General features: G+C 37.7%; 1 long non-coding RNA gene across 4 annotated transcripts in view; it reads left to right on the top strand.

Moving 5' to 3' along the window:
* HEY2-AS1 (HEY2 antisense RNA 1) overlaps nt 1–14,200 on the top strand; it is a 171,898-nt gene that overhangs the window by 93,066 nt on the left and 64,632 nt on the right. For all 4 annotated transcript variants that reach the window (NR_183491.1, NR_183490.1, NR_183500.1 and 1 more), the window contains one exon: nt 10,660–10,726. This is a non-coding gene — a long non-coding RNA (HEY2 antisense RNA 1). The remainder of the gene's footprint in view (nt 1–10,659; nt 10,727–14,200) is intronic.

The following is a 14,200-nucleotide window of genomic DNA, read 5'->3' as shown; positions in this document are numbered from 1 at the left end:
GATATGCGTGGAAGGGAGAAAAAACTGGAATTTAAGAATATCCCAGTGTGTGGTTTAGAACTCTATTTGGGAGTCCACAGAAGCAACCAGATATGTCTTATATACTAATGTTGAGTCTGGACATCTTAAAAGTTACACGTAAAATATTCTTTCGGACAGCATGTACTCTGCTCTATGTGGGCATAACACTTTATGGTTTACAAGGCGCCGTTGGTTTTTTTTTTTTTTAACATTCATTTAATCCTCATAACATTGCTATGAAGTTGAGACCACTATTTTTCTTTTCTAAATAAGAAGAGAGCGCAGGTTTTGAAAGAGTGATGTTGCGTTCAGATTCCTGTTCTACTATCTCACTTTACCCCACCTAGGGATTAAATGAGACAACTTTTGAAAAGTGTTTAGGGGCTCAACGAAAATTTTTTTTGCCCTTTTCCTTCCATCCCATCTTTACCAGCTAGATAGATTAACTACAGGGAAAGTGATCATGAGACTGAAGCTAAGCATTATTTGTATATCGAATAATCAAAGGAATGAATTCTTTAGACTTGCTTCTGTTGATAATCAGGGTTGTATAGAATTGGGCCTGTAAAGCTTAAGGGTGAAATTAGTCATTGAAGAGAAGCAAAATGCAGGCTCCAAATAATTTGAGGGATGTTGCTTTAGATTTTTGACATATTACTTAGGAATGAGTTGATGAATCATACTTATCCTATTATAAATTTAAATCTGTGATCCACTCAAATCTCTGATCTTGAGCCTTTCACTTGTAAAGTGGAAGGATCTAAGCAGTCACTATGACTTTGAAAAAAATACTGAAAATCATCTTGCCACCCCTTTCATTTTACAGAGGTAACGTGACTTGTTCAAGGTCAAGCAGATGAAACTGGACCTGAACACAGTTCTTCTTTTTGCCACATGACTTCTTAACCCTTGGATTAATACACTTTCCATTATATTTTGTAATTAAAATAAACTCATTTTGATAAGTTAAAATGAAGTTGTTATAAATGGCAATGTGTGGACCTTATCTGGATGCTGATCCAAACAAACAAACAAGTTTTAAAAATGATGAAATTCAAGAGATGATTGCAAATGAAAACACTGAGCAGATATTAAGGAATTATTATTTTGTTTTTAGATGTGGTCATGGGATTGTGGTTACGTTAAGAAAAATGTAGAATTATTGTTAAGAGATCCATAGTGAAATATTAATTAATGAAATGATATATTTTGGATTTGCTTCAAATCATATACTGGAGGTGGGTACAGAAGAAACCAGATTTGCCTTGAACTGGTAATGTTTGAGTCGGGTGATGAGTATATGGGGGTTCATTATGCTGTTCTATTTTAATGTGTGTTTGAAATTCTCCATTAATAAAGAAAAATACATGACCAGTTATATTTCTGTGTGTACTTGGTGTTTCCACTGTTAGGCTTTTCATTTGTCTTCTGATCTTGTATGCACAAGGAAGCGATAAATTATTGTTTATTCTTCTCCCAAGAAATTGGTTTGCTTTTTTCTGAATCATAAAATTAAACTTATCCTCCTTTTTGTTTTGGATGTTAGAAAACTTAGGACAAAATTTGTGGCAAATCACATTCATTTATTCTTTTATTTATTCAACTGAACTGAAGTGATGCTAAGATGGACTTATTTGTCCTCTACCTAGTTTTTCACAAGCAGGGATTCTAGACAGTTAATGTTGGAGGGTGCATGGTGCCATGGTTTAAGTCCCAGGATTAGACTGTTTGAGCTGGTAGCTCACCTTTGCCATAATTGACAAACTTGCCTCTGAAACTCAGGGTAAGCATTGTACAATGGAGATAATGATAGAACTTACCTCAATAATAAATGTGAGAATTAAATGAAACAATACTTTTTTTGCCCTTAGAAACAATTTATAAGAAAAAAAAAACCCATCAAAAAGTGGGTGAAGTATATGAACAGACACTTTTCAAAAGAAGACATTTATGCGGCCAACGAACATATGGAAAAAATGCTCATCATCACTGGTCATTAGAGAAATGCAAATCAAAACCACAATGAGATACCATCTCACTCCAGTTAGAATGGCAATCATTAAAAATCAGGCAACAACAGATGCTGGAGAGGTTGTGGAGAAATAGGAATGCTTTTACACTGTTGGTGAGAGTGTAAATTAGTACAACCATTGTGGAAGACAGTGTGGCGATTCCTTAAGGATCTAAAACCAGAAACACCATTTGACCCAGCAATCCCATTACTGGGTATATATCCAAAGGATTATAAATCATTCTACTATAAAGACACATGCAGCACTGGTCACAATAGCAAAGACTTGGAACCAACCCAAATGCCCATCAATGATAGACTGGATAAAGAAAATGTGGCACATATACACCATGGAATACTATGCAGCCATAAAAAATGATGAATTCATGTCCTTTGCAGGGACATGGATGAAGCTGGAAACCATAATTCTCAGCAAACTAACACAAGAGCAGAAAAACAAATACCACATATTCTCACTCATAAGTAGGGGTTGAACAATGAGAACACATGGACACAGGGAAGGGAACATTGCACACTGGGGCCTGTTGTGGGGAGGTATAGCATTAGAAGAAATACCTAACATAGATGACGGGTTGATGGGTGCAGCAAACCACCATGGCACGTGTATACCTATGTAACAAACCTGCATGTTCTGCACATGTATCCCAGAACTTAAAGTATTAAAAAAAAAGAACAAAAAGAAAAGAATCAGGGTTGAGTATATGGGAAGCACTCCATCAATTTTTGCTTTTATTAATATTATCAACAAATAATTATTTAATACCACTATATGCTAAGCAGGAGACTGGAGAGGGAGATTTCCACAGTGTCCCCTAATTTCATTTTGGATTATATCTTAACTCTGTCACCTTTTCTTCGAGTTCAACATTATTTAAATTCATCTTTTCTTGTTTTATGTATTTATATAAGCATTTATGCATTATTTTAAGAATAAGGTAGGATATAAATAAAAATGTTGTTTTTAGGATTATGTTCATGCCTAATTCTAGGCATATTTAAAGTAATAATCTGAAAGATAAAGTATTTGATAAACTAATTACCCCCTGAGAGCTGCATGATTTAAAATTCAAAAACACAGTAGTGAGAAAACCAAAATCTGAAGTCAGTGAACGCTGAAATTTGAGAGAGACTTTCTAAGTTTCTAAATTGAAATTATCTCACCGGGGCACGGCGGCTCATGCCTGTAATCTCAGCACTTTGGGAGGCTGAGGCTGGCGGATCACTTGAGGTCAGGAGTTCAAGACCGGTCTGGGCAACATGGTGAAACCCTATCTCTACAAAAAATAAAAAAAGTTAGCCGGGCGTGGTGGTGCATGCCTGTAGTCCCAGCTACTCGCGAGGCTGAAGCAGGAGAATCACTTGAACTCAGGCGGTGCAGGTTTCAGTGAGCTGAGATCGCACCCCTGCACTCCAGCCTGGGAGTGCAAGACTCTGTCACAAAACAAAACAAACAAAACACAACAAAACAACCCTTTTAGTTGTGTGAACGAAAGTTATCTGAAAAGCGAATTTGGAGGAAAGAGACTTTATTTCAGTGAACAGTTTGCAAACCAAGGAGATGAAGCCTTTGGTGTAAAACAAAGGTGCGTTTCAGAGAACAATGGGAGGGTTTGGGTTTTATATCAAAAATTCCCATCAGGGTTCCCAATCAGGTATATTTATACAAATTAAGGTTTGGCAAACTTGTGTAGTTCTGATCGGTCTCTATAGCTGGGTTCTGATTTGTCTGTATAGCTGAGTTCTGATTGGTTGATACTACTGAGCCCTTATTGATTGATACAGCTGAGCCCTGATCGTTGCGGTAGGTGAGCACTGATTGGGTTGGTTCAGGTGAGCTCTGAAAATCCCAAAGTTAAATAGAGGTGTGGGTTTTTGGGGAACTCAGAGAACCTGTGTGACCTAAGTCAGCAAATGACTGCTTGTCTCAGTTTAAAATTTGGGCCCAGATAACAACTCAGGATCTGTCTTAAAGGATTGGCTTGTTCAGGTTCATATTTGGTCACAGCTGGTACTCAAATTCCCTGCCATAAATCACCCTCTTCATATCTTTCACATTTAGTTAATTTCTATTCTTCTTATTTAATTTTACCTACTTAAAAAAATGTGAGCAGGGAAATCAAGTGTGTTATTATGCCAACAGATCTTCAGTGACTTAATAAGGTTTGACCCACCTGTTATTGTACAACTTTTCCCGCTGTTCTGGGATCTGTTGATAGATATTAGCTGTAGTGGTTGGTGTGGGCCTGATAAGGCATTCTCAGAGTGCACAGTAATGTGTGAGTCTGTACAGGCACCAGACCCTAGATCAGCCTTAAATTATAACTTGTTCAGCATGTTATTTAGAAAAGTGGTGGGTTTATATTAAGGCCCAATCAATTGGGAAAGAAATCACATTTAAAAGCCATCATTATTTTAAAATTAGCAGACTTCAACAAAGTCTATAAAATCAGTATTCTATTTTTTAAAAGGTAATGCCAATTTGTTAATCCATGATATTAATGTTAATTTTCCTGATTTTGGTAAGTCTACTGTGGTTACATAAGAGAAAGACCTTGCTCTTAGGAAAGGCATACTGAAGAGTTTAGGAGTAAAGGGACATGATGTCTGCAACTTACAAATGGTTGAGAGAATGAAGGACAACAAATGGGAAAAAATATATAAACAATTTGTTAATCTGGGTAAAGGATATATGGAAATTCCTTTTCCTACCTATTTTGTAACATTTCCATATATTTGAAATTACATCGATATAAAAAGGTTTAAAAGGTAATGAAAGAATTCTTTACTTAAAATAGTGAGATATTTTTGGGAGTGATGTTTCAGTCTAGAAGATATTTTTTCCTCCCTGATTTGTCATCACTGCTACAAAGAAAAGAAGATCTGCTTCTCCGTCCATAGGCAGGGGAAAATGCCTAGAAACACTTGTATATTCTGGCATACAATATTAAGCTTAACTTAGAAATGGAACATGAAAAAGGATGCAGAATATGTCACCTTTCTGGCATTTCAAGGCACAGTGAACTCTTAATGATGAAACCATGATCATCGCAAACCAGGAACAAAGATAGTCCTCATTCATATATTACAGAGTTAGAAAGCTTAAATGAATCATTCTTGTGATTCTCCCACAGAATACAATGTTGTGATAATGAATCTGACAACAACAAACCATATTCTTCACTTAAAGTTAAGTGTCAGCCTGGCCAACATGGTGCAACCCCATCTCTACCAAAAATACAAAAATTAGCTGGGTGTAGTGGCACATGCCTATAGTCCCAACTACTTGGGAGGCTAAAGCAGGAGAATTGCTTGAACCCTGGAGGTCAAGGCTGCAGTGAGCTGAAATCATGCCACTGCACTCCAGCCTGGGTGACAGAGTGCACCCCTGAGACTCTGCCTCAAAAAACCAAAAAAATGTTAAGTGTGATGTTTGTGCTGGATAGAGGCAAAAAGACTTCCCCACCCTCCACCACTTTCTTCCACAGCAAAGCTTTTAGAGTAAATTTCAACCCATATCTGAGGCTACAAATTGAGAGGGTTTCTCCAAATTGTCTAATTACCTGACTTTTTCATCTTTGGAAAGATACATGGTTAGAGTAAAATCAATGATTTCCACTTGACATAAGGACTTCTACTTATGCATTGAGTTCTTATTTTCATATCATTGTGCAAAGGGATATGCAACTGGTGGTCTATGTCAAGGCTGGAATTCTTTGAAAATACATGCAAATAACTGGAAAAATTACAACAAAGTCTTGGACGTTGTAGGTTAAAATCCCAGTGAAAGACTGATTAGTGATAATTTCAAGCATTTATTGAAATAATGATAGCTCCACACATAAAACTAAGAATATGTGGCATAAAATGTGCTATAGGAGAAATGAAAAGGAAGAATAATATTAATACATAGTTCTTAAGATCAAGTTGCCGTGATTCTAATGGGGATATAAGATGAACATCCTCAAGGCAATAGAAGACCAAGTATGGTGCATTGATGAGAACACCAGTCCTGGAGTTGGTGATCTCAGCTTGGTCTCTGATTAACTGACCTCAACACAGCTCTCTACCCCCACTTGTTTGCAGTTCTCTTACCTGTGCAATGAGGGGTTGAGCTCCAGATTCTCTTCTAATGCTAAATTGTATTTTCTATAATTACAACATAAAATTCAACTTCTCAAGTGGTAGTAACATTGTTAGAAATGCGTTATATATGTGAAATAATTGTTCAAAGATCTAGTCTTATACAATATAAATAATTATTTCTGAGATTTTCTAAGTGACAGAAGGCCAATCTCCAAATATTTTAGGTAATCTTTGCTTTAGAAGATGAGAAACTCTTTGGATTTATAATTTTAGCTCATTCTGGCATTTAAGCCCTGAGTCATTCTATTTGAAAAACACATTGGTTTTTAAATGTCAGAATATGAAATATTTATAACACATATCTACAATGATTGAATAAGCTATTAATATAATGCTAACACAAATAAAACAAGGTGCATGTTATTACAACCCTGGAGAAAGGAAGGGAATTAAAAAATTCAATTATATTGGAAGAGTCAAAAGCTCCCATGAGCGCTGACAATAATTACAGTAGTTACATCCTGACAATCTGAGAATGCTGGTGCTGGGGAAAGGGTGGGTGGTATGCGGAATCCTTCCTCTCCAAACAAACAAACAAAAATACAACAAAACGACTACAACAAAAGAGTCGGCAAATCATGCCTGAATTATGGTTACTTCTTTCTTTATGTTACAGATCATAAACTTTGGTCTGCCTTTTTGCTGATTTTTACTGTACAGATGGGAGTGCTTTAAGAAATTCTGATCTCCAAAAATCCCCACTTACACAACACATCAGTTCTGGAATGATCATTTCCTTGGCAAGGTTACTTTACACAGCCATCAAAGTAGCCATAGGTTACTTAGGTATAAAATAACCTTCCTTGGCAAGGTTACTTTAAACAGCCATAGAGGCAGCCATATGTTACTTCTACGCACATATAAAGTATAATTTGATTTGCCAAGCAAATTCACTATTAAAACTGAGACTATAGTAACAACCTCTTTTTGGAGATTCTCCAAATCAAGCAAACAAGCAAAAAACAGACACCAAAAGAACCTCTTCAAAACTTAAAGATGATAAAATACAGAATTATTTAGTAAATTTATTATATGAAGAGTCTCAAGACAAAATTATTTTCATTGGCAATACGTTAGGTCTGTAATCTCTTAGAAACAATTCTGAAGTACAAAAAAACTTGGAACACTATTTTTTTTCTCCCCTCTTTATTTGATAGCAAAACTTGAGCTGACCTGAACAAATTTGGTAGGAAACCTCATTTAATCTGATGTCTTTTTATAGTCTTATTTACTATATGTAGGGTGAATATTTGTGATTTTCTCTACAGAAATATTAATGGTCTTAATTATATAAGACTATGCCAGACTCTGCTGATGTGATATGTTATATGCAGCTGATGTACTGTATTATCTTTCTAAAATTCAAAAATTTCTGAATTTTGAAGTATATATGGCTACACAGATTTCAGATAAGGAATTATGGACTATAATATTTGAATTTAGTTGAGCTGACATTGAATCCTCCATTTATATGGATTTGTTTTTTAAATCATTAATGCTGTAGGTTTGTTTTTATTTATAGATATTCCTTCCTTTGCCTCTTTCACCTTCCTGAAGAGTTGACTATAAAGTGAATATTTCAATGTGACTCATATTTTCCCATGGATTGCCTTAGATCCCAAAGATACCAGAAGCCCATAGATACTACTAATACAGAATACCTATGACTATAAATGAAACAGGTTGGGTTTTATAATAAAAATAACTTAAAGTAACATAATTATAAAATCATGTAATTAAAAGGGGAAGTTAATATTATAATATTAATCAAAATAAATTGAAAAATCTGAAGTATATGAATATATTTCTCCAAATCTAAAAGTTTACCCTTTGGGACTCAGCTCACATAAGAAAGAGATTGGTTATTGCCTTGAGAAGCTTTGCCTGGATATTTCTGTTATTATTCCAAAGTGAAGATATACATTTGAAATATAAAGTGTTTAGTAGCTTGCAACAGAAAACAGTGTAGATAAAATACTTTCTTTTGACCCTGCTGCAAACTTTCTGAGTGCCCTTAACCAGGCTACTTTTCTCTCTTTATAATGATAGATTATATTTAATCTCTTTCCAGATTTAAATCCTATAGACTTACAATCTATTTTTCCATATTTCAATTTAAAAAGGTTATTATGTCCTGGTTAACTAAGAAATAAAGTGCTGATATTGTCTAGGATTTTAGAAAAGTCAATTTTTTTCCTTTGGGATCTGTCTTTTTAAAAATTTTAAATTGAATTTAATTTTATTATAAGTTCCAGGATACATGTGCAGGACGTGCGGGTTTGTTACATAGGTAAACCTGTGCCATGGTGGTTTGCTGCACCTATCAACCCAACCTTGGTATTAAGCCCAGCATACATTAACTATTTATCCTGATGCTCTCCCTTCCCCAACTCCTCCTTGCCAACAGGCCTCAGTGTGTGTTGTTCCCCATTCGTGTCCATGTGTTCTCATTGTTCAGCTCCCACTAATAAGTGAGAACATACAGTGTTTGGTTTTCTGTTCCTGCGTTAGTTTGCTGAGGATAATGGCTTCAAACTCATCCATGTCCCTGCAAAGACATGATCTTGTTCCTTTTTATGGCTGCATAGTATTCCATGGAGGCTTTTACACTGTTGGTGGGAGTGTAAATTAGTTCAACTAATTTGAAGAAGTGTGGCGATTCCTCAAAGAATAGAAAAGTCAAATGTTTTTATCATGAACTTGAAAATGAGACGTGCTGCCCAGGGAAGTGCTGAATGAGTATTCTACAAGGCTCACAGGGGATTTTTCCAGGGCACAGAGCTCAAAATGCTGGAAGGGTGGGAACAGGAAGGGACATGTGTAGTGTGGTGGAAGGGCTAGCAAAGGTAGGTCACTGGGCAAACATTAAATAAGGCTAATTATGTTCTTTCTTTTAGGGCCTCCAACCATAAAAAGGAAAACTGAAGAAAAGCAAAATAGATGGGTGTTAAGGGCATAGAAATGGGATGAATCTTTTCTTGAAATAGACAGAAAACAAACACATATAGTTACTTTTTCAGAGCCATTAGAAGCACAGTAGAACAAAGCCTGAGAGGTTTCAGTACCTGAGAAATGTGCTAGGAGATTCTCAAGGTATAGTAGCGACTTGACTAGTCTAAGGCAAGCTAAGGAAGATGTAGGGTCAATTAAATTATTTAAAGCTGGCAACCAGAGCAGAAGAGATTAAGCAGTAGTTGAGAGCAATGAAAGGATATTTTCTGTATTTCTTGAAACCTTTCTCTAAATAGTGTATATCGTCTTTTAAATCTTGCCATTCTATGTAGACTGTGCTTATATGAAATGAAATATAGAAATGTACCAGTCATGTTAAAGTGAAGAAAGAAATGTAAGTTGTCTGTAAGTGTATGTTTAACTTTTTTTAGAAACTGCCCAACTGTTTTCCAGGGTGGCTGTACCATTTTATGAGTGATTCAGTTTCTCTGCATCCGTTTGATGTCACTACTTTTTATTTTAGTCATTTTGATAGGTGCGTAGTGATATCTCACTGTGGTTTTAATTTAATTTGATGTTTATCTTATATCCTTATCAGCTTTAGAATTTTGGGGGATAGATTTATTGGGATTTTGTACATAGACAATTATGTAATCTGCAAATAGAGACATTTTTATTTGTCCATTCCAATCAGTATTGTTTTCACTTACCTTTCTTGCCTTATCCAGTGGCTAGAACTTCCAGTACTGCGTTGAATAAAAGTAGATATTATTTCCTTGTTCTGGATCTTAAAGAAAAAGAGTTCAATTTGTCCTCGCTGAGTATACGGTATTAGCTGTAGGCTTTGTCAATGATCTTATCATGTTTAGGAAGTTTCCCTTATTCCTAACTTTCGGAGAGTTTTTATCATAAAGGGGTATTGAATTTTATCAACTGCTTTTTCTGCCATCAGTAGATATCATTGTGTCATTTTTATTCCTTTGCCTCTCAGTATAGTGGATTAAATAGATTGGTTTTCAAATATTGAGCAAGCCTTACATCTCTGGAATTAACCCACTTGGTCATGATCTACAATTCTTTTTACATATTGCTGAATTCTATTTCATAATATTTTATTAAGAATTTTTGTGTTTGTATTCTTGAGGTATAGTGGTCTGTAGTTTCCTTTGTTTATGCTGTCTGGCTTTGGGATCAAGGTAATACTAGTTCACAAAACACCTAGGAAAGTTCCTCCTCTTCTACTTTCTGAAATAGATGGAAAGAAACTTTGTTAATTCTTTAAATGTTTAATAGAATATTCAGTGAAACTATCTGGGCCTGGAGATTTCTTTTTTGAATTTTAAAATTTTGAATTCAATTTCCTTATTATGATAGGACTATTCAAATTACGTATTTCATATTGGATAAATTAAGGAAGTTTGTGCTTTTCCAAGAATTTATTCATTTTTTTAAGTTTTCAAATTTATGTGTGTAAAGTTGTTCATAGTATTCTTATCTTTTTATGTCTCCAGGTGTGTGTCCGGAATTGGTGGGTTCTTGGTCTCACTGACTTCAAGAATGAAGCCGCGGACCCTTGCGGTGAGTGTTACAGCTCTTAAGGTGGCGTGTCTGGAGTTTGTGCCTTCTGATGTTCCGATGTGTTCGGAGTTTCTTCCTTCTGGTGGGTTCGTGGTCTCACTGGCTCAGGAGTGAAGCTGCAGACGTTCTCCGTCAGTGTTACAGCTCTTAAGGCGGGGCGTCTGGAGTTGTTCCTTCCTCCCGGTGGGCTCGTGGTCTCTCTGGCTTCAGGAGTGAAGCTGCAGACCTTCCCGGTGAGTGTTACAGCTCATAAAAGCAGTGTGGACCCAAAGAGTGAGCAGTAGCAAGATTTATTGCAAAGAGCAAAAGAACAAACCTTCCACAGTGTGGAAGGGGACCCGAGCGGGTTGCCACTGCTGGCTCCGGCAGCCTGCTTTTATTCTCTTATCTGGCCCCACCCACGTCCTGCTGATTGGTAGAGCCCAGTGGTCTGTTTTGACAGGGCACTGATTGGTGCCTTTACAATCCCTGAGCTAGATACAAAGGTTCTCCACGTCCCCATCAGATTAGATACAGAGTATGGACACAAAGGTTCTCCAAGGCCCCACCAGAGCAGCTAGATACAGAGTGTGGATTGGTGCACTCACAAACCCTGAGCTAAACACAGGGTGCTGATTGGTGTGTTTACAAACCTTGAGCTAGATACAGAGTGCCCATTGGTGTATTTACAATCCCTGAGCTAGACATAAAGGTTCTCCAAGGCCCCACCAGACTCACGAGCCCAGCTGGCTTCACCCAGTGGATCCTGCACCGGGGCTGCAGGTGGAGCTGCCTGCCAGTCCCATGCCATGCGCCTGCACTCCTCAGCCCTTGGGTGGTCAATGGGACCGGGCACCAGTGGAGCAGGGGGTGGCCCTCGTGGAGGAGGCTCGGGCCGCACAGGAGCCCACGGAGCGGGTGGGAGGCTCAGGCATGGCGGGCTGCAGGTCCCAAGCCGTGCCCCACGGGAAGGCAGCTAAGGCCCGGCGAGAAATCGAGCGCAGCGCCAGTGGGCTGGCACTGCTGGGGGACCCAGTACACCCTCCACAGCCGCTGGCCCGGGTGCTAAGCCCCTCATTGCCTGGGGCCGGCAGGGCCGGCGGGCTGCTCAGAGTGCAGAGCTCGCCAAGGCCACGCCCACCCGGAACTCCCGCTGGCCCGCAAGCGCCGCCCGCAGCCCTGGTTCCCGCTCACGCCTCTCCCTCCACACCTCCCGGCAAGCTGAGGGAGTAGGCTCTGGCCTTGGCCAGCCCAGAAAGGGGCTCCCATAGTGCAGCGGTGGGCTGAAGGGCTCCTCAAGTGCCGCCAAAGTGGGAGCCCAGGCAGAGGAGGCGCCGAGAGCGAGCGACGGCTGTGAGGACTGCCAGCACGCTGTCACCTCTCACAGGGTCTGTAGTGCTTTCCTGTTTCATTCCTGACATTGGTAATTCATATCTTCTCTTTTTTTTTAATTGTCAGTTTTGCTGGTGTTTTGTCAATTTTATTATTCTTTTCAAATAATTAGCTTTTTGTTTGATTGATTTTCCCCATTATTTTTTCTGTTTTCAATTTTATTGATTTCTACACTTATCTTTATTATTTTTCTTTTATACCTTTGAGTTCATCTTGGTCTTTTCTAGATTCTTTAGGTGGGGGATTAGATTATTGATTTGAGACTCTTGCTGTTTTTAATGCTACAGTTTAGTGCTATAAATGTTTTAGCATTGTTTTAGCTCTGTCCAGTGAATTTTGTTATGTGCATTTTTATTTTCATTCAGTCAAGTGCATTTAAAAATTTTCTATTAAGATGTCCTGTTTAAACTATGTCAATTATATTTTTTAAAGTGGTTTTTGGGGTATTCCCAAGGCTATACAACCATCACCACTAATTCCAGAATATTTTCATCAGCCCCTAAAGAAACCATGTACCCAATAGCAGTCACAGAGCATTCATCCCTGCTTCCAGTCCCTGGCAACCACTAATCTATTCTCTGTCTCTACAATTTGCCTATTCTGGATGTTTCATATAAATAGAATCATACAATATGTAGCCTTTTGTGTCTGACTCCTTTTACTTAGCGTAGAGTTTTCAAGGTCCATCCATGCTGTAGCATACATCAGTACTTCACAGTTCTTCATGACTGAATAATATCATTGTGTGGATATAACACATTCTGTTTATGGATTCATCAGCTCATGGACGTTAGAGTTGTTTACACTCTTTGCCTATTTTGAATAATGTTGCTATAAACATTCACATACATGAATGCTTTTGTGTGAACTTACATTTACAGTTTCCTTGGCTATATTCCTAAGAGTGAAATTGTTGAGTCACACAGCTATCTTTACCTAACAAACTGTTGTCCAAAACAGCTGCCCCTACATTCTGTTTAAAAAAAATGATTGCATATTTTCTTCTTGAACTTTAAAAAATATATCTGTGTCCAGGCACGGTGGCTCACGCCTGTAATCCCAGCACTTTGGGAGGCCGAGGCAGGTGGATCACAAGGTCAGGAGATCGAGATCATCCTGGCCAACATGGTGAAACCCTGTCTCTACTAAAATACAAAAAATTAGCCGGGCGTGGTGGCACATGACTGTAGTTCCAGCTACTCAGGAGGCTGAGGCAGGGGAATCGCTTGAACCTGGGAGGTGGAGGTTGCAGTGAGCCGAGATTGTGCCACTGGACTCTAGCCTGGCGACAGAGCGAGACTCCGTCCCCCCACCAAACTATATATATATATATATTTGTATTTTCACTCCATTTTAAAATATATTTAAATCTTATATTTATCTGAACTTTGTTTTGAAATTAGAGGTGAGGTAGGAAAATAAGTCATATTTTTTTCTGAAAGGGCTGTTTATTCATCTGAGCAACATCTTTTTATTACTAGTTTAAAATGTCACCTTTACATATACTAAATTTCCATAGGTAATTAGATCTATTTTTGACCTTTTTTGTTTCATTATTATGGATTTTTATTTATGAACCAGTACCACACTGTTTTCATTATTTTATTTTTCTAGTATAATTTCTGACAGGATTAGTTCTCCCTCATTATTTGCTTTTTCAAAAAGGTTTCCAACTCTTCTTGCTTGTTTGTCCACTCTTATTGATGTAGTTTATTTGCCACTAGTAGTCCTTGGGGAGATTCACTTCTATCTCTCAAAAAGCAAGTAAGAAAAAATTTACAGAGTGAAGGAAGATGATGTTACTTGCTTTGCTGTGGAAGTTATGGAATATGATGTTAATTTAAATCATAGTTCCTTTAGCCTGAGATCTTTCCTGATTGTTGCCTCATCTATTTACCATTGAGCTAGTTGGCAGGGATGTGGGTAAAGGCTAAACATGTAGATTTGAACAACATATCCTATCTTTCCTCTACTTAGAGCACTAGGCTAATGATTCCAATTTTTACCTCTATCCAAATCAGGTTCATGGTTTAAAGGTATTAATTCAGAACTCAAATAATTATCTGTAAGTGATTAAACCAACTCTATAAAAGCAAATACATA

Source organism: Homo sapiens, chromosome 6 (assembly GCF_000001405.40).
Source record: "Homo sapiens chromosome 6, GRCh38.p14 Primary Assembly".
Classification (NCBI taxonomy): Eukaryota; Metazoa; Chordata; class Mammalia; order Primates; family Hominidae; genus Homo; species Homo sapiens.
Note: the sequence above shows the minus strand (reverse complement) of the source record. Positions and strands in the feature narration are given on the sequence as shown.